The 27,885-nt window shown below is 43.9% G+C and overlaps 1 protein-coding gene across 23 annotated transcripts in view; it reads left to right on the top strand.

Moving 5' to 3' along the window:
• The window catches only part of NBPF9 (NBPF member 9), a 51,366-nt gene extending 24,039 nt beyond the window's left edge, over nt 1-27,327 (top strand). For 13 of the 23 annotated variants that reach the window (NM_001388374.1, NM_001388377.1, NM_001388375.1 and 10 more), the window contains 18 exons: nt 292-506; nt 1,558-1,630; nt 2,094-2,305; nt 3,649-3,858; nt 5,643-5,745; nt 6,581-6,795; nt 7,837-7,909; nt 8,374-8,579; nt 9,868-9,919; nt 13,824-13,987; nt 15,031-15,082; nt 15,708-15,880; nt 16,600-16,651; nt 17,248-17,420; nt 18,130-18,181; nt 18,818-18,990; nt 22,893-23,001; nt 23,614-27,327. In NM_001388374.1, the coding sequence (NP_001375303.1) occupies nt 292-506; nt 1,558-1,630; nt 2,094-2,305; nt 3,649-3,858; nt 5,643-5,745; nt 6,581-6,795; nt 7,837-7,909; nt 8,374-8,579; nt 9,868-9,919; nt 13,824-13,987; nt 15,031-15,082; nt 15,708-15,880; nt 16,600-16,651; nt 17,248-17,420; nt 18,130-18,181; nt 18,818-18,990; nt 22,893-23,001; nt 23,614-23,857 (2,551 nt within the window). In that variant the 3' untranslated portion in view covers nt 23,858-27,327. Of the gene's footprint in view, nt 1-291; nt 507-1,557; nt 1,631-2,093; nt 2,306-3,648; nt 3,859-5,642; nt 5,746-6,580; nt 6,796-7,836; nt 7,910-8,373; nt 8,580-9,867; nt 9,920-13,748; nt 13,988-15,030; nt 15,083-15,707; nt 15,881-16,599; nt 16,652-17,247; nt 17,421-18,129; nt 18,182-18,817; nt 18,991-19,704; nt 19,814-20,415; nt 20,589-21,297; nt 21,350-22,005; nt 22,179-22,892; nt 23,002-23,613 lie in introns of those variants that run through there. The other 10 variants (NM_001388367.1, NM_001388369.1, NM_001277444.2 and 7 more) reach the window with 4 other exon arrangements.
• The last annotated feature ends 558 nt before the right edge of the window (nt 27,328-27,885 follow it).

The following is a 27,885-nucleotide window of genomic DNA, read 5'->3' as shown; positions in this document are numbered from 1 at the left end:
CTGAAAAGATGTCTTTCTGAAAGGGAATTAGGAAGACACCTACTTTTGTTTACAGAAGGGAAAGATGAATGGAACATCATCGAGGATCTTGCAGGAGCCCTCTCTGATACAGAGGAAGCCTGTAAACCATTTTCTATTCTTTCTCTTGGCCACAGACATTCCTTTCAACATGTGCTGACCTTCTGTTTCAAGGTCTCCTTGAGGACATTATCTCAGAAGTCTCTGTTGCAATATTTGAACGGATCACTCAACCCTTTCTACTCTTAAATTTTCTCTACCGTCTCACCTTAGGCAATATAAAGTCCTGGTTCACTCTCAGGAACGAGAGCTGACGCAGTTAAAGGAGAAGTTACGGGAAGGGAGAGATGCCTCCCGCTCATTGAATGAGCATCTCCAGGCCCTCCTCACTCCGGATGAGCCGGACAAGTCCCAGGGGCAGGACCTCCAAGAACAGCTGGCTGAGGGGTGTAGACTGGCACAGCACCTTGTCCAAAAGCTCAGCCCAGGTAAGGTGGCCATAGGCCCTGATGACCCAAAACCCCAGGCTTATGAGAGGCTCCAGACCTCCATACTTTCACAATGACAGTTGTATCAGTGGGGTTTTTTTCTGCTACACATATGTGGCCATGACACGATCAGGACTTCCTGGGTAAGAACAGAGATGGGAAACCCATGGGTTTGGAGGTCACAGTATTGCAAGTGTCCCTCCTCCCTTGATGGAAGGTGGTCTTTGGAGCAAGAGGCAGCATCTATCTAGTTTTAAAGGACAGGAAGGAGGCTGTGATGGGAGGGCGCTTGTTGGAGTGAAAAGAGCTCTGGGCTAAGAATGAAGGTTCCCAGGCTGTCTTTTTGGCAATGTTCTTAGTAAGTGTCGGTGAGTGAGTGATTTATCTTTCCAGAGTTTCTCTCTCTCCATCTGCAAAGGCAGACAAATTGTCTCTTGCAAGGGTCTGAAGCATCCAAATATGGGAACACTTACGAATGCTTTTCAAAATGAGATGAAGCCCCTCTCCATGTGGTGTTGGAGAAGGCACTTGATGTGGGGGCATTTGGTGGTAGGAAGTGCTTCAGACTGGAGCACTCCCCATGGATAGAATGTCCCTGAATAACACAGCAGAAGCCACATGGAGGGCCTGTGCAGTCTCATGACGCATAGAGGACTGTGGGACAAGTTTGTCCTCTCCTAAGAGAAAGAATGAGGTTTGAAATGCGAACTGTGACAGGACACCAAGCCTGTTCCTGGGAATCAGATCTGTGGCAGGATGGGGGAGACAGCTGCCAAAGTCCAGAGAGAGGCTGCACAAGCCTTCAGTGATATGGGAAGCAAAAGGTCTTTTCAGTATTTGGCCACATCTTGATGGTGGCCCTCCACATCAGAAATGCATTGCCCGATGGAGCAGGAAACCATGCCAGGGCATTTTGTGAAAGATAAAACATGAGAGTTTTCAGTACAATGCTGAACCATACATAGATGTTCATGTCTCTGTGCACGTTGGGCTGACTGTGCTTGCAGAATGTGAAGTGGGAAATATCTGAATGAACATTTTGTATTTCTAGAAAATGACGAAGATGAGGATGAAGATGTTCAAGTTGAGGAGGATGAGAAAGTACTGGAATCATCTGCCCCCAGGTAACACTGAATACTCAGGAGCAAGTAATGGGTGGTAACATATGAAGATGTCTAGGAGGCACACCCTCTCTGGCATCTATGGTGGGCCAAAAGCCCGCATCCCCTTGGCCACAGTATGTGAAATTGAACCCAGCTTAGACACAGGGTGCGGCAGCTGTCGTGTTTCTCTATGTGTGCCAAGTGTCATGTCTGTACCATACAGGGATAGCTGAGTCTTCATCCTCCTCAGCTCCTATCTGTCCAGTGCACTGAACACCAGCTGCTCTCTTCCTCTCTGGCTCCCATGGCAGCCATGGTCTGTTGCAGAGAGAAGAGGATTGCCTGTTCCCTCTTTAAGGGAACCTCCGTTTTGCTTTCTGGAACCACTCTCTTAATGCCGCCTGTCAAAACCAGCTAGTACTCCCTGGGGTCCAATCCCTCTGTGTTTAATCTTCTGTCATCTCTGTCCCACCTGGCTCATCAGGGAGGTGCAGAAGGCTGAAGAGAGCAAAGTCGCTGAGGACTCACTGGAGGAATGTGCCATCACTTGTTCAAATAGCCACGGCCCTTGTGACTCCAACCAGCCTCACAAGAACATCAAAATCACATTTGAGGAAGACGAAGTCAACTCAACTCTGGTTGTAGACAGAGAATCCTCTCATGATGAATGTCAGGATGCTCTAAACATTCTCCCAGGTAGCCTCTATTTTCCTTGTGTCTCATACCTCTGTCTAGGCTATGGAAGATCAATTCTGAGGACAGGCTGTATATACACATATTGTTATTGTTTTAGTCAGAAACTAGGATGGAGCTAGGTGCTGTGACTCACACATATAATCACAGCACTTTGGAAGGCCCAAGTGGGACGATGACTTGAGTTCAGGAGTTGAAGACCAGCCTACACAATATGGTGAAACCCATCTTTACAAAGAACACAAAAAATTAGGCAGGCATGGTGCTGCATGCCTATAGTCCCAACTGCTCAGGAGACTTAGGTGGGAGGATGGGCTGAGATGATCCTCCCACCCTCATTCACTTCTGTCAGGCTAGACTCTCTCTCCTTTTCATTGGCTTGTCTTAGCTATTAATAAGTCTCGGCTGGGCGCAGTGGGTCACACCTGTAATCCGAGCACTTTGGGAGGCCGAGGTGGGTGGATCAGGAGGTCAGGAGATTGAGACCATCCTGGCTAACACGGTGAAACCCCGTCTTTACTAAAAATGCAAAAAAAAAAAAATAGCTGGGCGTGGTGGTGGGCGCCTGTAGTCCCAGCTACTCAGGAGGCTGAGGCAGGAGAATGGCATGAACCCAGGAACCGGAGCTTGCAGTGAGCCGAGATTGTGCCACTGCACTCCAGCCTGGGAGACAGAGCGAGACTCCATCTCAAAAAAAAAAAAAAATAAAGTCTCTGACCAGGGGCGCTGGCTCACATCTTAATCCCAACACTTTGGGAGGCCGAGGTGGGCGGAACACCTGAGCTCAGGAGTTCGAAACCAGCCTGTCCAAGATGGCGAAACCCCATCTCTACTAAAAATACAAAAATTAGCTGGCATGTTACTTGGCCCTTGTAATCCCAGATGCTTGGCCGGCTGAGGGATGAGAATCACTTGAACCCGGGCGGCAGAGGTGGCAGTGAGCTGAGATTGTGCCTCTGCACTTCAGCCTGCGTGACAGAGTGAGACTCTGTCTCAAACAAAAAAACCAAAAAAGAAAAAAATTAAAAAAGCAAAATGAAATCTTTTGTGCTACACAGAAACATTGGCCACTCATGGGGTAAAAATCTCAGGGCCAAGCCTTGCTTTATAGAAACGTATAAGCAAGAAAAGTGTAGAAGTGTTTATGTCTTGGTTTCAAGGTGACTGCATAGCTAAGACAAGTTGACTTAAAGGAGATCAAGACTGGAGATGACAAGAGTGAAACCAGGGAAACAACATCTTCAAATAAGTAAACAAGGCTGCCAGTGACATCCCTCAGTCCTGATTAAGCCTATTTGATTTCACCAGTTTTTAACCCATCATGTGTTTGCCTTTCTTCTCCCCAGTCCCTGGCCCCACCTCTTCTGCCACAAACGTCAGCATGGTGGTATCAGCCGGCCCTTTGTCCAGCGAGAAGGCAGAGATGAACATTCTAGAAATCAATGAGAAATTGCGCCCCCAGCTGGCAGAGAAGAAACAGCAGTTCAGAAACCTCAAAGAGAAATGTTTTCTAACTCAACTGGCCGGCTTCCTGGCCAACCAGCAGAACAAATACAGTAAGATCTATAGGCTCACCATCACGAAAGTGATGAACGACGTCCTGTCTTCTCTCTGAGGAACTAAGTGCTCTCTCCATCAAAAATAATGTCATCCTCCCCATACTTCTAGGAAAACAGAAATGGGTATTTTAACATTTTGTCAAAGTTGGAAGACAGAGGTACCAAAGTATTTAGCAACTTTCCATGTTTGCAATCAGGTGGGGGTGGGACTAGAGTTAAACTGCCATTTATTGATTTCTGACACAGGCACAGAATGACCTGTTTTCTCCAAGAGGCTCAATCGTGTTTTCAAGAATCCTCTCTACCATATAAGATCCTGCAGACAAATAACATCTAGTCTGTTGTTCTAAATGTCTGAGACTAGTGAACTTTTATTCAGTTCAAGTTTCTGTTGAGGCCCAACAGGCAAAGCTCTGTTCTAGTGACTCTGAGGGAAACTTGGTGATAGTAGCCAGTACCTGCTCTGAGGGGCTTCAAGAGGAGTCTACTCCTAATAGAACCTGTGCTGTCTATAAATGACAGCATCAAGAGCAGGGAGTAGGGGCCATGCATGGTGGCTCACTCCTGTAATCCCAGCACTTTGGGAGGCTGAGGCGGGCAGATCATGAGGTCAGGAGTTTGAGACCAGCCTGGGCAACATGGAGAAACCCCATCTCCACTAAAAATACAAAAAGTAGATGGGCGTGGTGGCAGGTGACTGTAATCACCCCTGCTCAGGAGGCTGAGGCAGGAGAATCCTTTGAACCCAGGAGGCTGAGGTTGCAGTGAGCCAAGGTTTTGCCATTGCACTCCAGCCTGGGCGACAGGGCAAGACTGGTAAAAATAATAATAATAATAATAATGATGATAAATAAAAATAAGAATAAAAAGCAGAGAGTAGCTTGGTGAGAGTGAAGTCCTGCTTCCTGGGGCACAGAGTCTTGTTGCTAAAGAGGAAGAAAGTTCGCACCCGAGAATGTGTGGAGATAGCAGTGCAGTGTACAGAGCAGGGACCGTGGGCCTGTCTCCTGGGCTCCATCCAAGTTGCTTGTCTTGTCTGTCCCTCAGTTACCTCACCTGTTCAGAGGGTACTACAATAATACCTACCTCTGTAAATTGCTGCAGTGAATTACATGAGCTGTTTCTTGTCAGTCTCCTAGAACATTTATTGGCACAGAGTAAACACTATCTATTAGTTCTTCATTCTGCTGTTTCTAAATTAACACAAACTTTATTAGCATTTGGGCATATTTCCTTCATGGCCTTATGGTCTTATGTGTCACATTTTATGCTTCAGATATGATTCTTAAAATCATAACTGAAGATATGATTTAAAAATCAAAGATTTAAAAAATCTTTCGCATACTTGTCCTTGAAATTCCCAGTAAAAGGGAAACCATCAGTCCCATAGTCCTAGGGGCCTTCCCGACTGTACAAGAAATCACTACTTCATGCCCCAGTGCAGTGTTTTAGAGGAGAGGCTGCAAAGCTTGGGAAAGTGGCCCCGCATTCAGAGTCAGACCTCAGGGACTGTGAATTCTGACTCCACTTCGTTGTGGTTGAATCATCTTGTCAACTTCCTTGATGTGCCCTTGAGGTTCTCTTTCTTCGTCTTTAAATTTTGGAGGATCAGATGCCAGAAAGTCAGGAGACTGAAGAGTAAAGATGTGGAAATCCCTGTCTAGACCCTGGTACTGGGGAGAGTTTTGTCCTTGGGATGGACCTGGCTCCTGCCCTGTAGGCAGTGACCACAGCAGCATGTCCAGCCTTCCACTGAGGCAGGCGTGTCTGTCTTTTCTCAGAGTATGAAGAGTGTAAAGACCTCATAAAATTTATGCTGAGGAATGAGCGACAGTTCAAGGAGGAGAAGCTTGCAGAGCAGCTGAAGCAAGCTGAGGAGCTCAGGTGAGGGGACCCCATGGGGGCAGGCAGGGGGGCAGGTGTGTAAATCTCTGAAGTACAGCAGCTCGGTGGGGAGACGTAAGAGCTAAGCTGGGCCAGGGGAAGGGCAGGAATTGCCATGGCAGGCTCGCTACACACAAATATTTATCAAACAGAGAAGAAGGATAATAAAAATGTATGGGTTGCAGTTGTTTCTCAGAGCCTTGTTTTCTCTTTTTCAAACAAGTAATTGTTGATGTGAAATTTACATAACACAAAATTAACCAAAGGAGTGTGAACCACACAGCAGCATTCAGTATACTCAAAATGGTGTGCCATCACCACCCCACTTACCCTTAGTGACAATCACCTCCTGACTGACTGCGGCTTCTCATTCTTTCACTCAATCAATGTTGCCTTCTCGACCCTGTCATTCTTTTCTTCTTTCGTCTTTTCAATTCGCCCCATCTGCCCCTGGCCTCATTTCTGTACATGGCTTTGTATCTAGTGGCCGCAAGATGCACTATGTGTATTTTCACATGGAAATGTCCATGGCCAGAGTGAGGAACTGAAAGGATGTCTTTTTGAAATGGAATTAGGAAAACACCTACTTTTGTTTACAGAAGGGAAAGATGAATGGAACATCATCGAGGATCTTGCAGGAGCCCTCTCTGATACAGAGGAAGCCTGTAAACCATTTTCTATTCTTTCTCTTGGCCACAGACATTCCTTTAAACATGTGCTGACCTTCTGCTTCGAGGTCTCCTTGAGGACACTGTTTCAGAAATCTCTGTTGCAATATTTGAGCGGATCACTCAACCCTTTCCACTCTTAATTTTTCTCTACCATCTCACCTTAGGCAATATAAAGTCCTGGTTCACGCTCAGGAACGAGAGCTGACCCAGTTAAGGGAGAAGTTGCGGGAAGGGAGAGATGCCTCCCGCTCATTGAATGAGCATCTCCAGGCCCTCCTCACTCCGGATGAGCCGGACAAGTCCCAGGGGCAGGACCTCCAAGAACAGCTGGCTGAGGGGTGTAGACTGGCACAGCACCTTGTCCAAAAGCTCAGCCCAGGTAAGGTGGCCATAGGCCCTGTTGACCCAAAACCCCAGGCTTATGAGAGGCTCCAGACCTCCATACTTTCACAATGACAGTTGTATCAATGGTGTTTTTTTCCACTAAGCTTATGTGGCCATGACATGACAAGGACTTCTTGGGTAAGAACGGAGATGGGAAACCCATGGGGTTGGAGGTCACATTATTGCAAGTGTCCCTCCTCCCTTGATGGAAGGTGGTCTTTGGAGCAAGAGGCAGCATCTATCTAGTTTTAAAGGACAGGAAGGAGGCTGCGATGGGAGCAGGCTTGTTAGAGTGAAAAGAGCTCTGGACTAAGAATGAAGGTTCCCAGGCTGTCTTTTCGGCAATGTTCTTAGTTACTGTCAGAGAGTGAATGACTTGTCCTTCCTGAGTTTGTCTCTCTCCGTGGCAGACAAATTGTCTCTTGCAAGGGTCTGAAGCATTCAAATGTGGGAACACTTACAACTGCTTTCCAAAATGAGATGAAGGCCCTCGCCGTGTGATGTTGGAGAAGGCACTTTATGTGGGGGCGTTTTGTGGTAGGAAGTGCTTCAGACTGGAGCACTCCCCATGGATAGAATGTCCCTGAAGAACACAGCAGAAGCCACTTGGAGGCTTGAAATCTTCTGATGCATAGAGGACTGTGGGACAAGTTTGTCTGCTTCTAAGAGAAAGAATTAGGTTTGAAATGCAAACCGTGACAGGACACCAAGCCTGTGCCTGGGAATCAGATCTGGCAGGATGGGGGAGACAGCTGCCAACGTCCAGAGAGAGGCTGCACAAGCCTCCAGTGATATGGGAAGCGAAAGGTCTTTTCAATATTTGGCCACATGTTGATGGTGGCCCTCCAGATCAGAAATGCATTGCCTGATGGATCAGGAAACCATGCCAGGGCATTCTGTTAAAGATAAAACATGAGAGTTTTCAGTTGAACGGTGACCCATGCCTAGATGTTCATGTCTCTGTTGCACATTGGGCTGACTGTGCTTGCAGACTGTGAAGTGGGAAATATCTGAACGAACACTTCTGTATTTACAGAAAATGACAACGATGACGATGAAGATGTTCAAATTGAGGTGGCTGAGAAAGTGCAGAAATCGTCTGCCCCCAGGTAACACTGAATACTCAGGAACAATTAATGGATGGTAACATATGAGGAATATCTAGGAGGCACACCCTCTCTGGCATCTATGATGGGCCAAAAACCCGCATTCGCTTGGCCACAGTATGTGAAATTGAACCCAGCTTAGACACAGGGTGCGGCAGCTGTCATGTTTCTCTATGTGTGCCGAGTGTCATGTCTGCACCGTACAAGGATAGCTGAGTCTTCATCCTCCTCAGCTCCTATCTGTCCAGTGCAATGAACAGCAGCTGCTCTCTTCCTCTCTGGTTCCCATGGCAGCCATGGTCTGTTGCAGAGAGAAGAGGATTACCTGTTCCCTCTTAATGGGAACCTCCATTTTGCTTTCTGGGACCACTCTCTTAATGCCGCCTGTCAAAACCAGCTAGGACTCCCTGGGGTCCAATCCCTCTGTGTTTAATCTTCTGTCATCTCTGTCCCACCTGGCTCATCAGGGAGATGCAGAAGGCTGAAGAAAAGGAAGTCCCTGAGGACTCACTGGAGGAATGTGCCATCACTTATTCAAATAGCCATGGCCCTTATGACTCCAACCAGCCACATAGGAAAACCAAAATCACATTTGAGGAAGACAAAGTCGACTCAACTCTCATTGGCTCATCCTCTCATGTTGAACGGGAAGATGCTGTACACATTATTCCAGGTAGCCTCTGTTTTCCTTGTGTCTCATACCTCTCTCTAGGCTGAGGAAGATAAACTCTGAAGACAGGCTCTATAAACACAAATTCATTTGAATAAAAAACTGTGATGGGTTTCTAAACAGATATCAGGGAGTTTTTTGTCCTTCTCAGCTAATGTCATGCCTTTGTCTGCCAGTCCCCAGTATCAAGTTACTCAACCCCAGGCAAGTGTGACAATCTCATAGTCACCTGAGTGCAGGAGGTGCACAGGCAGTATCTGTCAGGCCTCCTAGCTTCGATTCAGTATCTCTTGTCATCTGTGATTAAGTCATCTGTCCCTGAACAATGTCCATGGAGTTTCTATGCCTGTTTAAGGAAGCTGGCAGCCTTGCCTTTGTTTTTGGAAATATCGTTCCCCAGGCTTCACTGCTCTCAGCTTTCATCTGGATCTCCTTTAAGTCAGCTTGCTTAGCTGCACAGTCACCCTGAAATCAGGACGGAAACTTTTCTTCTTTACTTTGGTGATATATTTCCATAAAGCAAGGCTGGACCCTGGTTCTCCACCCTGTCAATGCAATGGCTGATCCAATGTTTCTTTGTAGCATCGTGGATTTTTTTTTTTTTTTTTTTTTTTTTGCGATGGAGTCTTGCTCTGTCACCCAGGCTGGAGTACAGTGGCACCATCTTGGCTTGGTGCAACCTCTGCCTCCCAGATTCAAGTGATTCTCCTGCCTCAGTCTCCTGAGTTGCTAGGACCACAGGTGCACAACATCACATCTGGCTAATTTTTGTATTTTTAGTAGAGACAGGGTTTCCCCATATTGGCCAGGGTAGTCCTGAACTCATGACCTCAAATGATTCACCTGTCTTGGCCTCCCAAATCACAGATTCTTTTTAAAGCAAGAGTTGTTCAAATTTATCTATCAGTCGTGTTTCATGTATAGATGCCTCTAAACATTTAATGTCCATGTTACCTGGTGATATAAGTCCGTATCGCAGCAACACTCTTAGAAAATTGTTTGACCAATTTTTGGAGATTTTTTTGGGGAAAAAATTTTGTTTAACTTTGACTCAGGCAGGGAATATGGCATTATGGTCTACACGTAGAGGGAGATTTTGGCCTGTGGGTCTGGAAAGCAGGGTCATCTAATTCTCACCAAAGTTAATCTAGGACACCCTAGAATATTCCTGTCAGAATCCTTATTCTTGCACTGAGAATAGTTATGTCCTTGGCTATGACTGGACAGTGATTTGTTCATATGTGAAGTATGAATTGCTTAATGTGACCTGCTTCTCTGAATTTATTTACAGAAAATGAAAGTGATGATGAGGAAGAGGAAGAAAAAGGGCCAGTGTCTCCCAGGTAATGTTGTGGAATTGTTGGCTGTTAATTCAGTAGTGACATCTGGAGATTGTAGATTTAGGGAAAATGAGGAAGTGATGAATAGAACTATTTCTTCCATTCACCCAGCTACAAATTGTGCTGATTTACAATGTTGTATGTTATTTGTGGCACTTGTATTGGTTTTAATTTCATAGTCCTCTCAAGATAGGAACTTGCCATCAGATGAGCCAGGTGAACTAGCCAAACAGGGTTTTCTTGTTGATCTTTTCAAAAAACCAGCCCTGGATTCATTGATTTTTTGAAGGGTTTTTTGCGTCTCTATCTCCTTTAGTTCTGCTCTGATCTTAGTTACTTCTTGTCTTCTGCTAGCTTTTGAATTTGTTTGCTTTGCTTCTCTAGTTATTTTAATTGTGATGTTAGGGTGTCAATTTTAGATCTTTTCTGCTTTCTCTTGTGGGCATTTAGTGCTATAATTTTCCCTCTACACATTGCTTTAAATGTGTCCCAGAGATTCTGGTATGTTTTGTCTTTGTTCTCATTGGTTTCAAAGAACGTCTTTATTTCTGCCTTCATTTTGTTATTTTCCCAGTAGTCGTTCAGGAGCAGGTTGTTCAGTTTCCATGTAGTTGTGCGGTTTTGAGTGAGTTTCTTAATCCTGAGTTCTAATTTGATTGCACTGTGGTCTGACAGTTTGTTGTGATTTCCATTCTTTTACATTTGCTGACGAGTGCTTTACCTCCAACTATGTGGTCAATTTTGGAATAAGTGTGATGTGGTGCTGAGAAGAATGTATATTCTGTTGATTTGGGGTGGAGAGTTCTGTAGATGTCTTTTAGGTCTGCTTGGTGGAGAGCTGAGTTCAAGTCCTGGATATCCTTGTTAAGCTTCTGTCTCATTGATCTGTCTAATATTGACAGTGGGGTGTTAAAGTCTCCCATGATGATTGTGTGGAGTCTAAATCTCTTTGTAGGTCTCTCAGGACTTGCTTTATGAATCTGGGTGCTCCTGTATAGGGTGCATATATATTTAGGATAGTTAACTCTTCCTGTTGAATTGATCCCTTTACCATTATGTAGTGGCCTTCTTTGTCTCTTTTGATCTTTGTTGGTTTAAAGTCTGTTTTATCAGAGACTAGGATTGCAACCCCTGCCTTTTTTTGTTTTCCATTTGCTTGGTAGATCTTCCTCCATCCCTTTATTTTGAGCCTATGTGTGTCTCTGCATGTGAGATGGGTTTCCTGAATACAGCACACTGATGGGTCTTGACTCTTTATCCAATTTGCCATTCTGTGTTTTTTAACTGGGGCATTTAGCCCATTTACATTTAAGGTTAATATTGTTATGTGTGAATTTGATCCTGTCGTTATGATGTTAGCTGGTTATTTCACCCGTTAGTTGATGCAGTTTCTTCCTAGCGTCAATGGTCTTTAGAGTTTGGCATGTTTTTGCAGTGGCTGGTACCGGTTGTTCCTTTCCATGTTTAGTGCTTCCTTTAGGAGCTCTTGTAAGGCAGGCCTGGTGGTGACAAAATCTGTCAGCATTTGCTTCTCTGTAAAGGATTTATTTCTCCTTCACTTATGAAGCTTTGTTTGGCTGGATATGAAATTCTTGGTTGAAAATTCTTTTCTTTAAGAATGTTGAAGATGCTGGAGAGGATGTGGAGAAATAGGAACACTTTTACACTGTTGGTGGGACTGTAAACTAGTTCAACGATTGTGGAAGGCAGTGTGGCAATTCCTCAAGGATCTAGAACTAGAAATACCATTTGACCCAGCCATCCCATTACTGGGTGTATACCCAAAGGATTATAAATCATGCTGCTGTAAAGACACATGCACACATATGTTTATTGCGGCACTATTCACAATAGCAAAGACTTGGAACCAAGCCAAATATCCAGCAATGATAGACTGGATTAAGAAAATGTGGCACATATACACCATGGAATACTATGCAGCTATAAAAAATGATGAGTTCATGTCCTTTGTAGGGACATGGATGAAGCTGGAAACCATCATTCTCAGCAAACTATTGCAAGGACAAAAAACCAAATACCGCATGTTCTTACTCACAGGTGGGAATTGAACAATGAGAACACATGGACACAGAAAGGGGAACATCACACACTGGGGCCTGTTGTAGGGTGTGGGGAGGGAGGAGGGGTAGCATTAGGAGATATACCTAATGTTAAATGATGAGTTAATGGGTGAAGCACACCAATGTGGACATGTATACATATGTAACTAACCTGCACGTTGTGCACATGTACCCTAAGACTTAAAGTATTAAAAATATATATATATATATACACATACACACAAAAAATAATAAAGGAAAACTATACATATGGAAAAAAAAAAGAATGTTGAATATTGCTCCCACTCTCTTCTGGCTTGTAGGGTTTGTGCCAAGAGATCTGCTGCTAGTCTGATGAGTTTCCCTTTGTGGGTAATCCGACCTTTCTCTCTGGCTGCCCTTAGCATTTTTTCCTTCATTTCAACCTTGGTGAATCTGACAATTACGTGTTTTGGGGTTGCTCTTCTCGAGGAGTATCTTTATGGTGTTCTCTGTGTTTCCTGAATTTGAATGTTGGCCTTCCTTGCTAGGTTGGGGAAGTCCTCCTGGATAATATCCTGAAGAATGTTTCCCAGCTTGGTTCCATTCTCCCCGTCACTTTCAGTACACCAATCAAACGTAGATTTGGTCTTTCCACATAGTCCCATATTTATTGGAGGCTTGTTCATTTCTTTTTACTCTTTTTTCTCTAAACTTCTCTTCTCGCTTCATTTCACTAATTTGATCTTGAATCACTGATACCGTTTCTTGCACTTGATCGAATTGGCTACTGAAGCTTGTGCATGCATCACGTAGTTCTGGTGCCATGGTTTTCAGCTCCATCAGGTCATTTAAGGTCTTCTCTACACTGTTCATTCTGGTTAGCCATTCGTCTAATCTTTTTTCAAGGTTTTTAGCTTCCTTGCGATGAGTTCGCACATCCTCCTTTAGCTCAGAGAAGTTTGTTATTACCGACTTTCTGAAGCCTACTTCTGTCAGCTCATCAAAGTCATTCTCCATCCTGCTTTGTTCCATTGCTGGCGAGGAGCTGCGATCCTTTGGAGGAGAAGGGATGTCAGGTTTTTGGAATTTTCAGCTTTTGTGCTCTGGTTTCTCCCCACCTTTGTGGTTTTATCTACCCTTGGTCTTTGATGATGGCGACCTACAGATGGGGTTTTGGGGTGGATGTCTTTTTTGTTGATGTTGATGCTATTCCTTTCTGTGTGTTAGTTTTCCTTGTAACAGTCAGGTCCCTCAGCTTCAGGTCTGTTGGAGTTTGCTGGAAGTCCACTCCAGACCCTCAAACAGGGATTTCTTGGTGTTGCCTATTCTCTCCCATGTGTCTAAATCAAGGGAGAGGTGTATATATGCTTTCTTCCTATTTGTTGGTAGTATGTTGGCTAGTATTTTTGCAAGAAAAGAAATTGAAAAAGTAAATATATTATATCAAAATATTGGGAAAATGGGGCCCTTAATACACAAGATCTGTGTCTGCACTGCGTCAAGAACTCTCTTCACTTGAATGCTGCATGTAAAATTCAACCCAATTTATGCAAAGTAGTTGAAGCCCTGTGTCAGTTCTCTGTGCTGCAAGACATGATGGTAGTTTACAGGGAGAGTCTGGGTGCCCTGAGTTGGCTCATCTGTGGCAAATGTACTGAGCACACGCTGCCCATTTTTGCTCTGTCCCCAGAGCAGTCACCCTCCACCCTGTATTTAGAAGGATAGTTTTATTTCTCTTGAAGGAAAAATGCCTTTGGTTTCTGTGACCACTCCATTCTGTCTCCCATCAGATCATCTGGGAGGTTTTGTTGTCTAATGTCTGTTGGTTAAATCTTCTATCATCCCTGTCCTGCCTGGCTCATCAGGAATCTGCAGGAGTCTGAAGAGGAGGAAGTCCCCCAGGAGTCCTGGGATGAAGGTTATTCGACTCCCTCAATTCCTCCTGAAATGTTGGCCTCGTACAAGTCTTACAGCAGCACATTTCACTCATTAGAGGAACAGCAAGTCTGCATGGCTGTTGACATAGGCAGTGAGTACTCCATTGTGAAGGTGATAAAGCTCCAGTTCATGGCCCAGGTAGACCCCATAATCTTTGGGCCTTGTGCCCCTTGTTGGGCTGAGATTTGCCATCACTGTGGGCTGAACCTATATATCAATGTAGATTTCAATCACTCTGGAGTCGAGTCTGAAGCACAGGCATGGGGTGGGTCAGTGAGCTTTGCTCTCTTCCTAGTCTCAGGCCATGCCCGTGCCAACCTGGACTGACTGTCACGACATTGAACTCAAGGCAGGTGTGGCAAACTCACACCAAACTATGTAGCACATGCCCAGGAGTTGTCTGTCAGATCAGCTCATCTGAATTAAATGTCTCTTGCCAGCTACAAAATTCCTTATGAGTTTTGTTCCCAAAGCATGTCTGTGTGGTTCTTTACCTGCCCAAGGCCAGTGTCACCCTTGTCTACCTCTCAGTGAAAGATGTGACCCAGGTTTCACTGAATTTATTCCCATTTTCTGTGTCTTCTAAGTTCGCTTGTTTTAGCTCATCTGTCCGTCATGTTCCTGGTATGTTTTCTAGATAAATGGCTGACTTTTCACCCACAAAAGCCATAATAGCTGATGCTACTGTGTAGAACCAAGTTACATTTTGACTCAAGAGCTGGTTCATTGCACCCCCTCATCAAATCTCTGTGTCCACAATCTCATAAACTATCAAATTCTGGGTATTTGATGAGAGAAAGCTTAATATTGAAGTATCTCTCCTATGAGGTGTTAGAACTATTTGCCTACAATTTATTGGGGAAAAAAATCGCGCATTTGTGTACATAAACCTAGGACAGAGCACATAGGGAAGATAACATTCCAACACAGGGGAATTTTGCCCAAGGCTCATGAAAGAACCCAAGCCAGTTTTCTCAAGACTTGACCTCAGGCCTACTGGAATATTTCTCTCAAAGTCTCCTGTTCTCACACTGACAAGACTGATGTCCCTGTGTTAGGATTGGACAGAGGAATGTTTCTGTGTGCAAGGAAGGACTGCTTAATGTAAGAGGGCCCATCTGAATTTATTTGCAGGACATCGGTGGGATCAAGTGAAAAAGGAGGACCAAGAGGCAACAGGTCCCAGGTGAGTCTGAGAAATTGTGGACAGTTAATTTGATGTTGACACCTGGAGATGCCAAGTCCAGGGAAAACAGTACATGCTGAAAATAATGATTTTGTCTTGTCAGACAAGTATGAATTATGCCTACTACATTGCTTTTTGGTTCTCATTAGAGTAAATGTTTAGGTTTCCATTTCTTCCTACCCTTATCATTTACTAACCTAGTGAAAGTTGACCATACCTCAAAAGCTGTATTCTCATGGTAACTGCAGGGAAACTTGAGCACATTTTATGCAAAATTATTGAGGACATGCTTTTCATGATCACTGTTCACTGTGTGTCCTGAGAGCACAAATACAGAGTGTCCTTTGACTCCCTCATCAGTGTGTCACCTGACCAAATCACTCAGCTCGCTCTGTGTGTGTGTGTGTGTGTGTCTGTGTCTGTGTGTGTGTGTGTGTCTTTCTCTTTCATCCTTTTCTACCTGGCCCTAGTCTATCCCAACATAAAGGCAATAATTTGTTACCTCATTAATGGATCTGTCCTTTTTCTTTTCAAACTCTTCCTTATGTTAGCCATGAAATCTAGCTGGGGCTGTGTGGTTTCTGATTCCCCCTGGCTTATTCTTTACTTTTTCCCACTTTTCCAGGCTCAGCAGGGAGCTGCTGGATGAGAAAGGGCCTGAAGTCTTGCAGGACTCACTGGATAGATGTTATTCAACTCCTTCAGGTTGTCTTGAACTGACTGACTCATGCCAGCCCTACAGAAGTGCCTTTTACGTATTGGAGCAACAGCGTGTTGGCTTGGCTGTTGACATGGATGGTGAGTACCTTTCTATGAAGGTGATAAGGATCCACTGAGTCTTCTGGTTAGGGTCATATTCCTACTGCAAGTGGCCGTTACTGAGCTGAGAGATGTCATTGCCACAGGGAGGACCTATAGGCACATGTACGTTGAATGAAACTCTAGTTCCACTTGGAAGCCCAGACAAGGGATGGGTCAGTGAGCAAGGCTCTCTTCCTAGTCTCAGGCCATGCCTGTGGCGCCCTAATCCTACTCTCATGACATTGGACCTGGGCAGATGTGACAAATTCACACAACTCTGATTTTGTCTCAATTTTGTAGATCTTGTAGATTTCATCCTTCACTCTAATTTCAGCGTCTAAAATCCTCGCTACCATGAACAATCTGAGTATTTGATGAGACAGGGCTGAATAGTGCAGTTTTTCTCCTAGCAACCATTTGGGGGCATTTGCTTTAAATCGATTGGAAAAATATGGCATAACCATTTGCACAAACTTGGGACAAATGATATTGGGATAACGGTCTACCAGAATAGGGAATTTTACCCACAGTTTCTGGGACAAAAACCAAGGAATCTCTATGGTGATCAGCCTTCAGGCCTCCTGAAGAATATCTCTCACAGTGTCCTATTCTCATGCTGAGGAGCCTGAAGTCCCTGTGTGAGGATTAGACAGTGGATTGTTATGTGTGTAGGAGAACCAGCTTAATATGACTGTCCATGTCTGAACTTATTGCAGAAATTGAAAAGTACCAAGAAGTGGAAGAAGACCAAGACCCATCATGCCCCAGGTAACTTTGAGCAATTATGGATGCTTAATTCTGTGTTGACACCTGGAGATGCCAGGTCCAGGGAAAACAAGAGTGTGTTCAATTTCATGTTTTCAACGGAGGTTGAATTACTCCTACTGCCATTGCTGTTGGTTTTCATTGCAGTAGATGTTTAGGTTTCCATTTCTTCCTCCCCTTATCATTTACTAACTTACTATAGGTTGACCATACCTCAAAGGCTGTATGGCAACTGCATGGAATCTTGAGCAAGTTTATGGAAAATTATTGAGCCCACTCTTTTCATGATCACTGTTCGCTGTGTGTCCCGAGGGCACTAACTCAGAGTGTCCTTTGACCCCTTCATCAGTGTGTCACCCGGCCAATTCGCTGAGCTCACTTTCTCCTCTCTCTCTCTCTCCCTCTCCCTGTCTTTCTCTTTCATTCTTTTCCACCTGACCCTGGTCTATCCCAACCTAAAGGCAATAATTCATTACCTCATTAATGGATCTGTCCTTTTTCTTTTTAAACAGTTCCTTATGTTAGCCATGAAATCTAGCTGGGGCTGTGTGGTTTCTGATTCCCCCTGGCTTATTCTTTACTTTTTCCTACTTTTCCAGGCTCAGCAGGGAGCTGCTGGATGAGAAAGAGCCTGAAGTCTTGCAGGACTCACTGGGTAGATGGTATTCGACTCCTTCAGGTTATCTTGAACTGCCTGACTTAGGCCAGCCCTACAGCAGTGCTGTTTACTCATTGGAGGAACAGTACCTTGGCTTGGCTCTTGACTTGGACAGTGAGTACCTTACTATGAAGGTGATAAGCCTCCACCTGGTCTTCCAGATAGAGGTGATATTCCTGTTCCAAGTGGCCCTTACTGACCTGAGAGATGTCATTGCCACAGGCAGGACCTATGGGCGCATATAGGTTGTAATGAAACTGTAGTCTCAGCTGGAAGCCTAGACATGAAATGGGTCAGTGAGCAAGGCTCCATTCCTAGTCTCCAGCCATGCCTGTGGCAACCTGAGCCCGCTCTCAGCACATTGGACCCAGGCAGATGTAAAAAATTCACAGAAGTATGATTTGGACTCAAGGGTTTGTAGATTTCCTCCTTCATTCTAATTTCAGTGTCTAAAATTCTTGCATCCATGAACGAGCTGGGCATTTGATGAGACAGGGCTGAATACTGCAGTTTTCCTCCTAGAAATCATCTGGGGCATTTTCTTTGAACTGATGGGAACAATAAGGCATAACTGTTTGCACAAACTTGGGATAAATGATTTTGGGATAACGATCTACCAGAATGGGGATATTTCACCCTTGGTTCTGAGATGCAAACCAAAGAATATCATGACCAGCTTTCAGGCTTCCTGAAGTATATCTGTCACATTGTCCTGTGCTCATGCTGAGGAGCCTGAGATCCCTGTGTGGGGATTAGACAGTGGACTGTTATGGGTGTAGGTGAATTGGCTTATTTTGTCTGTCCCTGTCTGAATGTATTGCAGGAATTAAAAAGGACCAAGAAGAGGAAGAAGACCAAGGCCCACCATGCCCCAGGTAACTGAGCAATTGTGAACAGCTACTTCTGTGTTGACATCTGGAGACTCCTGGTTCAGGGAAAACAGAGCGGGCTGACATTATCGATTACATCTTTTCAAGCAAGCCTGAATTATTCCTACTAACATTGCTGTTGGTTTTCATTGCAGTAGATATTTAGGTTTCCATTTCTTCCTCCCCTTATCATTTACTAACCTACTGTAGGTGGACCAGACTTCAAAAACTCTATTCTCATGGCGACTGCATGGAAATTTGAGCACATTTTATGGAAAATTATTGAGCTCAGTCTTTTCATGATCCCTGTATGCTGTGTGTCCTGAGGGCACTAACTCAGAGTGTCCTGTTACTCCCTCATCAGTGTGTCATCTGGACAATTCACTGAGCTCGTTCTCTGTGTGTGTGTGTTTGTGTGTGTGTGTGTGTGTGTGTGTGTGTGTGTCTATCTGTCTTTCTCTTTCATTCTTTTCCATTTGGCCCCGTTGTGTCCCAACATGAAGGCAATAATTTGTTACCTCATTAATGGATCTATCCTTTTAGTTTTTTAACCACTTCCCTATGCTACCCATGAAACCTAGTTGGGGCTCTGTTGTGTCTGATTTCCCCTGGCTTATTCTTTACTTTTTCCTCCTTTTCCAGGCTCAGCAGGGAGCTGCTGGAGGTAGTAGAGCCTGAAGTCTTGCAGGACTCACTGGATAGATGTTATTCAACTCCTTCCAGTTGTCTTGAACAGCCTGACTCCTGCCAGCCCTATGGAAGTTCCTTTTATGCATTGGAGGAAAAACATGTTGGCTTTTCTCTTGACGTGGGAGGTGAGTACCTTTCTATGAAGGTGATAAGGATCCACTGAGTCTTCCATATAAAGATCATATTCCTGCTCCAAGTGGCCATTACTGAGCTGAGAGATGTCATTGCCACAGGGAGGACCTATAGGCACATGTAGGTTGAATGAAACTCTAGTTCTACCTGGAAGCCCAGATGAGGGATGGGTCAGTGGGCAAGACTCTCTTCCTAGTCTCAGGCCATACCTGTGGCGCCCTGATCCTATCCTCATGACATTGGACCTGGGCAGATGTGACAAATTCAGAGAACTATGATTTTGACTCAAGGGTTTGTAGATTTCCTTTTTCACTCTAATTTCAGTGTCTAAAGTCCTCACAACCATGAACAATCTGAGTATTTGATGAGACAGGGCTAAATATTGCAGTTTTTCTCCTAGAAATCATTTGAGGGTATTTGCTTTAAATTGATTGGAAAAATATGGCATAACTGTTTGCACAAATTTGGGACCAATGATATTGGGATAACGATCTACTAGAATAGGGACATTTTACCCACAGTTTCTGGGAGAAAAACTGAGGAATTTCTATCATAACCAGCCTTCAGGCCTCCTGAAATATATCTCTCACAGTGTCCTATTCTTATGCTGAGGAGCCTGAGGTCCCTGTGTGAGGATTAGACAGTGGATTGTTATATGTGTAGGGGAATCAGCTTAATGTGTCTGTCCATGTCTGAATTTATTGCAGAAATTGAAAAGAAGGGGAAGGGGAAGAAAAGAAGGGGAAGAAGATCAAAGAAGAAAAGAAGAAGGGGAAGAAAAGAAGGGGAAGAAAATCAAAACCCACCATGCCCCAGGTGACTTTCAGCAATTCTGGATCCTTAGTTCTGTGTTAACACCTGGAGGCAACAGATTCAGGGAAACCAGAGTGTGTTTGATGTCACGTTTTCAACGAAGGCTGAATTACTCCTACTGTCATTGCTGTTGGTTTTCATTGCAGTAGATGTTTAGGTTTCCATTTCTTCCTCCCCTTATCATTTCCTAACGTACCATAGGTTGACCATACTTCAAAAGCTGTACTTTCATGGCCACTGCATCGAATTTTGAGCATATTTTATGGAAAACTATTGAGCTCACTCTTTTCATGATCACAGTTTGCTGTGTGTCATGAGGGCACGAACTCAGAGTGTCCTTTTACTCCTTCATCAGTGTGTCACCCGGCCAATTCACTAGGTCACTTTCTCTCTGTCTCTGTCTCTGTCTCTCCCTGTCTTTCTCTTTCATTCTTTTCTACCTGGCCCTGGTCTATCCCAACCTAAAGGCAATAATTCATTACCTCATTAATGGATCTGTCCTTTTTCTTTTTAAACAGTTCCTTATGTTAGCCATGAAATCTAGCTGGGGCTGTGTGGTTTCTGATTCCCCCTGGCTTATTCTTTACTTTTTCCTACTTTTCCAGGCTCAGCAGGGAGCTGCTGGATGAGAAAGAGCCTGAAGTCTTGCAGGACTCACTGGATAGATGTTATTCGACTCCTTCAGGTTATCTTGAACTGCCTGACTTAGGCCAGCCCTACAGCAGTGCTGTTTACTCATTGGAGGAACAGTACCTTGGCTTGGCTCTTGACGTGGACAGTGAGTACCTTACTATGAAGGTGATAAGCCTCCACCTGGTCTTCCAGATAGGGGTGATATTCCTGTTCCAAGTGGCCCTTACTGACCTGAGAGATGTCATTGCCACAGGCAGGACCTATGGGCGCATATAGGTTGTAATGAAACTGTAGTCTCAGTTGGAAGCCTAGACATGAAATGGGTCAGTGAGCAAGGCTCTATTCCTAGTCTCCAGCCATGCCTGTGGCAACCTGAGCCCGCTCTCAGCACATTGGACCCAGGCAGATGTAAAAAATTCACAGAAGTATGATTTGGACTCAAGGGTTTGTAGATTTCCTCCTTCATTCTAATTTCAGTGTCTAAAATTCTTGCATCCATGAACGAGCTGGGCATTTGATGAGACAGGGCTGAATACTGCAGTTTTCCTCCTAGAAATCATCTGGGGCATTTTCTTTGAACTGATGGGAACAATAAGGCATAACTGTTTGCACAAACTTGGGATAAATGATTTTGGGATAACGATCTACCAGAATGGGGATATTTCACCCTTGGTTCTGAGATGCAAACCAAAGAATATCATGACCAGCTTTCAGGCCTCCTGAAGTATATCTGTCACATTGTCCTGTTCTCATGCTGAGGAGCCTGAGATCCCTGTGTGGGGATTAGACAGTGGACTGTTATGGGTGTAGGTGAATTGGCTTATTTTGTCTGTCCCTGTCTGAATGTATTGCAGGAATTAAAAAGGACCAAGAAGAGGAAGAAGACCAAGGCCCACCATGCCCCAGGTAACTGAGCAATTGTGAACATCTACTTCTGTGTTGACATCTGGAGACTCCTGGTTCAGGGAAAACAGAGCGGGCTGACATTATCGATTACATCTTTTCAAGCAAGCCTGAATTATTCCTACTAACATTGCTGTTGGTTTTCATTGCAGTAGATATTTAGGTTTCCATTTCTTCCTCCCCTTATCATTTACTAACCTACTGTAGGTGGACCAGACTTCAAAAACTGTATTCTCATGGCGACTGCATGGAAACTTGAGCACATTTTATGGAAAATTATTGAGCACAGTCTTTTCATGATCCCTGTATGCTGTGTGTCCTGAGGGCACTAACTCAGAGTGTCCTGTTACTCCCTCATCAGTGTGTCACCTGGACAATTCACTGAGCTCGTTCTCTCTCTCTCTCTCTCTCTCTGTGTGTGTGTGTGTGTGTGTGTGTGTGTGTGTGTGTGTGTGTGTGTGTCTATCTGTCTTTCTCTTTCATTCTTTTCCATTTGGCCCTGTTCTGTCCCAACATGAAGGCAATAATTTGTTACCTCATTAATGGATCTATCCTTTTAGTTTTTTAACCACTTCCCTATGCTACCCATGAAACCTAGTTGGGGCTCTGTTGTGTCTGATTTCCCCTGGCTTATTCTTTACTTTTTCCTCCTTTTCCAGGCTCAGCAGGGAGCTGCTGGAGGTAGTAGAGCCTGAAGTCTTGCAGGACTCACTGGATAGATGTTATTCAACTCCTTCCAGTTGTCTTGAACAGCCTGACTCCTGCCAGCCCTATGGAAGTTCCTTTTATGCATTGGAGGAAAAACATGTTGGCTTTTCTCTTGACGTGGGAGGTGAGTACCTTTCTATGAAGGTGATAAGGATCCACTGAGTCTTCCATATAAAGATCATATTCCTGCTCCAAGTGGCCATTACTGAGCTGAGAGATGTCATTGCCACAGGGAGGACCTATAGGCACATGTAGGTTGAATGAAACTCTAGTTCTACCTGGAAGCCCAGACAAGGGATGGGTCAGTGAGCAAGACTCTCTTCCTAGTCTCAGGCCATACCTGTGGCACCCTGATCCTATTCTCATGACATTGGACCTGGGCAGATGTGACAAATTCAGAGAACTATGATTTTGACTCAAGGGTTTGTAGATTTCCTTTTTCACTCTAATTTCAGTGTCTAAAGTCCTCACAACCATGAACAATCTGAGTATTTGATGAGACAGGGCTAAATATTGCAGTTTTTCTCCTAGAAATCATTTGAGGGTATTTGCTTTAAGTTGATTGGAAAAATATGGCGTAACTGTTTGCACAAACTTGGGACAAATGATATTGGGATAACGATCTACTAGAATAGGGACATTTTACCCACAGTTTCTGGGAGAAAAACCGAGGAATTTCTATCATGACCAGCCTTCAGGCCTCCTGAAATATATCTCTCACAGTGTCCTATTCTTATGCTGAGGAGCCTGAGGTCCCTGTGTGAGGATTAGACAGTGGATTGTTATGTGTGTAGGGGAATCAGCTTAATGTGTCTGTCCATGTCTGAATTTATTGCAGAAATTGAAAAGAAGGGGAAGGGGAAGAAAAGAAGGGGAAGAAGATCAAAGAAGGAAAGAAGAAGGGGAAGAAAAGAAGGGGAAGAAGATCAAAACCCACCATGCCCCAGGTGACTTTCAGCAATTGTGGATGCTTAATTCTGTGTTAACACCTGGAGGCAACAGATTCAGGGAAACCAGAGTGTGTTTGATGTCATGTTTTCAACGAAGGCTGAATTACTCCTACTGTCATTGCTGTTGGTTTTCATTGCAGTAGATGTTTAGGTTTCCATTTCTTCCTCCCCTTATCATTTCCTAACGTACCATAGGTTGACCATACTTCAAAAGCTGTACTCTCATGGCCACTGCATCGAATTTTGAGCATATTTTATGGAAAACTATTGAGCTCACTCTTTTCATGATCACAGTTTGCTGTGTGTCATGAGGGCACTAACTCAGAGTGTCCTTTTACTCCCTTACCAGTATGTCACCTGGCCAATTCACTAGCTCACTTTCTCTCTGTCTCTGTCTCTGTCTTTCTCTCTCTGTCTTTCTCTTTCATTGTTTTCTACCTGGCCCTGTTCTATCCCAACATAAAGGCAATAAATTTTTTTTTTTACCTCATTAATGGATCTATCCTTTTTCTTTTCTAACCACTTCCTTATGTTACTTCTGAAATCTAGTGGGGCTCTGTGGTGTCTGATTTTCCCTGGCTGCTTCTTTAGTTTTGTCTCCTTTTCCAGGCTCAACGGCGTGCTGATGGAAGTGGAAGAGCCTGAAGTCTTGCAGGACTCACTGGATGGATGTTATTCTACTCCGTCAATGTACTTTGAACTACCTGACTCATTCCAGCACTACAGAAGTGTGTTTTACTCATTTGAGGAACAGCACATCAGCTTCGCCCTTTACGTGGACAATAGGTTTTTTACTTTGACGGTGACAAGTCTCCACCTGGTGTTCCAGATGGAAGTCATATTCCCACAATAAGCAGCCCTTACTAAGCCGAGAGATGTCATTCCTGCAGGCAGGACCTATAGGCACGTGAAGTTTTGAATGAAAGTACAGTTCCATTTGGAAGCCCAGACATAGGATGGGTCAGTGGGCATGGCTCTATTCCTATTCTCAAACCATGCCAGTGGCAACCTGTGCTCAGTCTGAAGACAATGGACCCACGTTAGGTGTGACACGTTCACATAACTGTGCAGCACATGCCGGGAGTGATCAGTCAGACATTTTAATTTGAACCACGTATCTCTGGGTAGCTACAAAATTCCTCAGGGATTTCATTTTGCAGACATGTCTCTGAGCTTCTATACCTGCTCAAGGTCATTGTCATCTTTGTGTTTAGCTCATCCAAAGGTGTTACCCTGGTTTCAATGAACCTAACCTCATTCTTCGTGTCTTCAGTGTTGGCTTGTTTTAGCTGATCCATCTGTAACACAGGAGGGATCCTTGGCTGAGGATTGTATTTCAGAACCACCAACTGCTCTTGACAATTGTTAACCCGCTAGGCTCCTTTGGTTAGAGAAGCCACAGTCCTTCAGCCTCCAATTGGTGTCAGTACTTAGGAAGACCACAGCTAGATGGACAAACAGCATTGGGAGGCCTTAGCCCTGCTCCTCTCAATTCCATCCTGTAGAGAACAGGAGTCAGGAGCCGCTGGCAGGAGACAGCATGTCACCCAGGACTCTGCCGGTGCAGAATATGAACAATGCCATGTTCTTGCAGAAAACGCTTAGCCTGAGTTTCATAGGAGGTAATCACCAGACAACTGCAGAATGTAGAACACTGAGCAGGACAACTGACCTGTCTCCTTCACATAGTCCTTATCACCACAAATCACACAACAAAAAGGAGAAGAGATATTTTGGGTTCAAAAAAAGTAAAAAGATAATGTAGCTGCATTTCTTTAGTTATTTTGAACCCCAAATATTTCCTCATCTTTTTGTTGTTGTCATGGATGGTGGTGACATGGACTTGTTTATAGAGGACAGGTCAGCTGTCTGGCTCAATGATCTACATTCTGAAGTTGTCTGAAAATGTCTTCATGATTAAATTCAGCCTAAACGTTTTGCCGGGAACACTGCAGAGACAATGCTGTGAGTTTCCAACCTCAGCCCATCTGCGGGCAGAGAAGGTCTAGTTTGTCCATCACCATTATGATATCAGGACTGGTTACTTGGTTAAGGAGGGGTCTAGGAGATCTGTCCCTTTTAGAGACACCTTACTTATAATGAAGTACTTGGGAAAGCGGTTTTCAAGAGTATAAATATCCTGTATTCTAATGATCATCCTCTAAACATTTTATCATTTATTAATCCTCCCTGCCTGTGTCTATTATTATATTCATATCTCTACGCTGGAAATTTTGGGTCTCAATTTTTACTGTGCCTTTGTTTTTACTAGTGTCTGCTGTTGCAAAAAGAAGAAAACATTCTCTGCCTGAGTTTTAATTTTTGTCCAAAGTTAATTTTAATCTATACAATTAAAACCTTTTGCCTATCACTCTGGACTTTTGGATTGTTTTTTACATTCAGTGTTATAATATTTGATTATGCTGATTGGTTTTGGTGGGTACTGATGCGAATTAATAAAAACATTTCATTTCCATGTTTATTTTCTAATCTCTTCCACATTGTAGGCTATGTTTACCATATGTAGCAGAATGTATTTACATTTCTTGGTTCTAGTCATTTGTATTCTTCGTGAGTGTGAGTGTGTGTGTGTCTGTGTGTGTGTGTCTGTGTGTGTGTCTGTGTGTGCCTTTGGCATTTAGGAAGGGTTGTATAGCTCATGTTAAATATTGCACTAAAAATGTTTTTGATGGTTTTCCTCCCTTTGGACTAGACACACTTCTAATATTTGGTTTATAGTTTTAAATTATAACTTTCAGCATCAAATATTTCCATACAACAGTCAATTACATGATGTGTTTTCTTTTTCCTACCTCCTTTACCTGCCACTTCTCATAATAGTATTTGAACCTAAACATATACCGGTGACATTCTGTGATTATCATCTTGCCCCTACCTTGGTTTTTGGTTTAGATCCACAATGAAATATATTAACGCTCATGAGCTATTCAAAAGTGAATGTCACAGTCGTCACTTGCTGAGTGGTACTCATCCTTAACAGAGTCCTCATGAGGGAATCAGGTCTCGCTGAGTTTAGCATGTTTAATAATCTTTTCTCACGGTCTCGATACATGGATCGCATTACTAGATATAAGGTGCTTGCCCAAAATGATTTTTCTGGAGTTTTTAGGAGATATTGTCTTCCTTGGGGGACATACATGGTGTATGTTCTCATTGTGGGATTCTATTTTGTTCTACCAGGACCTCTAATTTCTGCCAGTTACTTCATTCATTTGTTCTCTTCACCATGAGTCTCCAGAGGATACTTCCATGGTCCGTGCCTCCCCATCTCCCAGCAATTCTGCATTTCCAAGATTGGCACCTCTGGTCCTCTGCACGGTGAAGCCCCTTCCTTTCAATTCCCCAGTAGCCAGTGCTCTAATCCACCAGGTCTCAGGCATGATCTATGTTTCTCCACACTCGCTTTCTGAGGAGAGTTTTGCCTGGGTTCTATCATGAACAGGCCCTCCCTGCTGTCCTGGCCTCTATTTGCATAGTGTTTCCTGCTCCCTCTGCCGTCGTGTGGCTCCCAGACCTGGCTAAAGAAAATCACCTGAGGGCCACAGTGTTCCCTAGCCCTGGTGTTTAGGGCAGGATTATGGGTGAGATTTTTGAGTCTCTAACTTGACCCCTACAGCTCTGAAGTGTATGTTGAGAAATTCAGCTGTTATCATCCTAGGTGGACTTGCTCCCTCCTATCCTCCTACTTCAAATGCAGAACTTCAATCGTTTACAAAAGAAGACTGAATCGTATAATAGAACACACCCTTATTCATTGGCTGGCTTCACCAATCTCATGGCTGAACTTGTAAAAATACAATCTTAGCCACATACCTATGAAATGTATATGTGTGTGTATATATATACATGAATTTGCTTCTGAGATTATGGAGGCTGAAATTCCCAAGATGGAAGGAAAGCTGGATACCCAGGAAAGCATTTGTTTCCCATTAGGCCTCTTAATTCTCTCCTGGCCCTTGATGGATTGCATGAGGCCCACCCCTATTAAGGAGGGCAATCTGCTTCACTTAGTCTGCCCATCCCAATGTTAATCGTATCTGAAAGACTCTCTGGAACACAACCAGAATCATGTTTGGCCAAATGTCCTGGCACCCTGGTGCTCGGTCACAGTGACAAGTACAAGTAACTATCACACATGCCCTTTGTCATATTGGTGATTTCCACTGTTTTTCTCCCAAACTGCAGCTTATATTTGTTCTCTTAGTACTGTTGAGCAAAAACTTTTAATTTTCATAAAGTCGAATTTATCAATGTTTTCTTTAATGGTTTGTGTTTATTGATAATAAAGAACACTTTACCTAACTCTGTGTCATGAAGATTTTGTCTTATATTTTCTGCTATACTTTTTCTAGTTTTATAGTTTATATTTAGTTGCATAATCCATTTTGAGTTAGTTTTTGAGTTAGTATTGAGGTTCAGGTGAATTTTTTTCCTTTGGGGATAAAAAAAACAAATTGTGTAAAAAAAAGTTGTTTCTACACAATTTGTTGACAAGAGAATGCCTTCTCCACTGAATCATATTTGCACCTTTGTCAATCCATTGGGTGGTTGAGACTGGTGAGAGGACTGTCCTGGTGTTTGGACAGAGAGACAGGGCATGAAGTAGGGTGGTTCTTATGGGAAAAATTAAGGAAGACACATTTTTCCATGAGGAATAGGAAATCCCCAAGCACAATTGGGGGTACCCTCTACCAGCATGTTGTAGCACACTCATCTCTGCTCTACCTGTCCTGCTGCAAAAGCTTGGGTGTGCATAGACACTGAGGTTGAGTGGTGTCTTTGGGCATTTTGAGCATTGACACCAAAGTTCCAGCATCAAATCTTAGAATATCAAGCAGCCAGATGGATCACCTGAGGTCA

This window comes from Homo sapiens, chromosome 1 (genome assembly GCF_000001405.40).
Source record: "Homo sapiens chromosome 1, GRCh38.p14 Primary Assembly".
NCBI classification, from domain to species: domain Eukaryota; kingdom Metazoa; phylum Chordata; class Mammalia; order Primates; family Hominidae; genus Homo; species Homo sapiens.
This window is presented reverse-complemented; position numbering and strand designations above follow the sequence as displayed.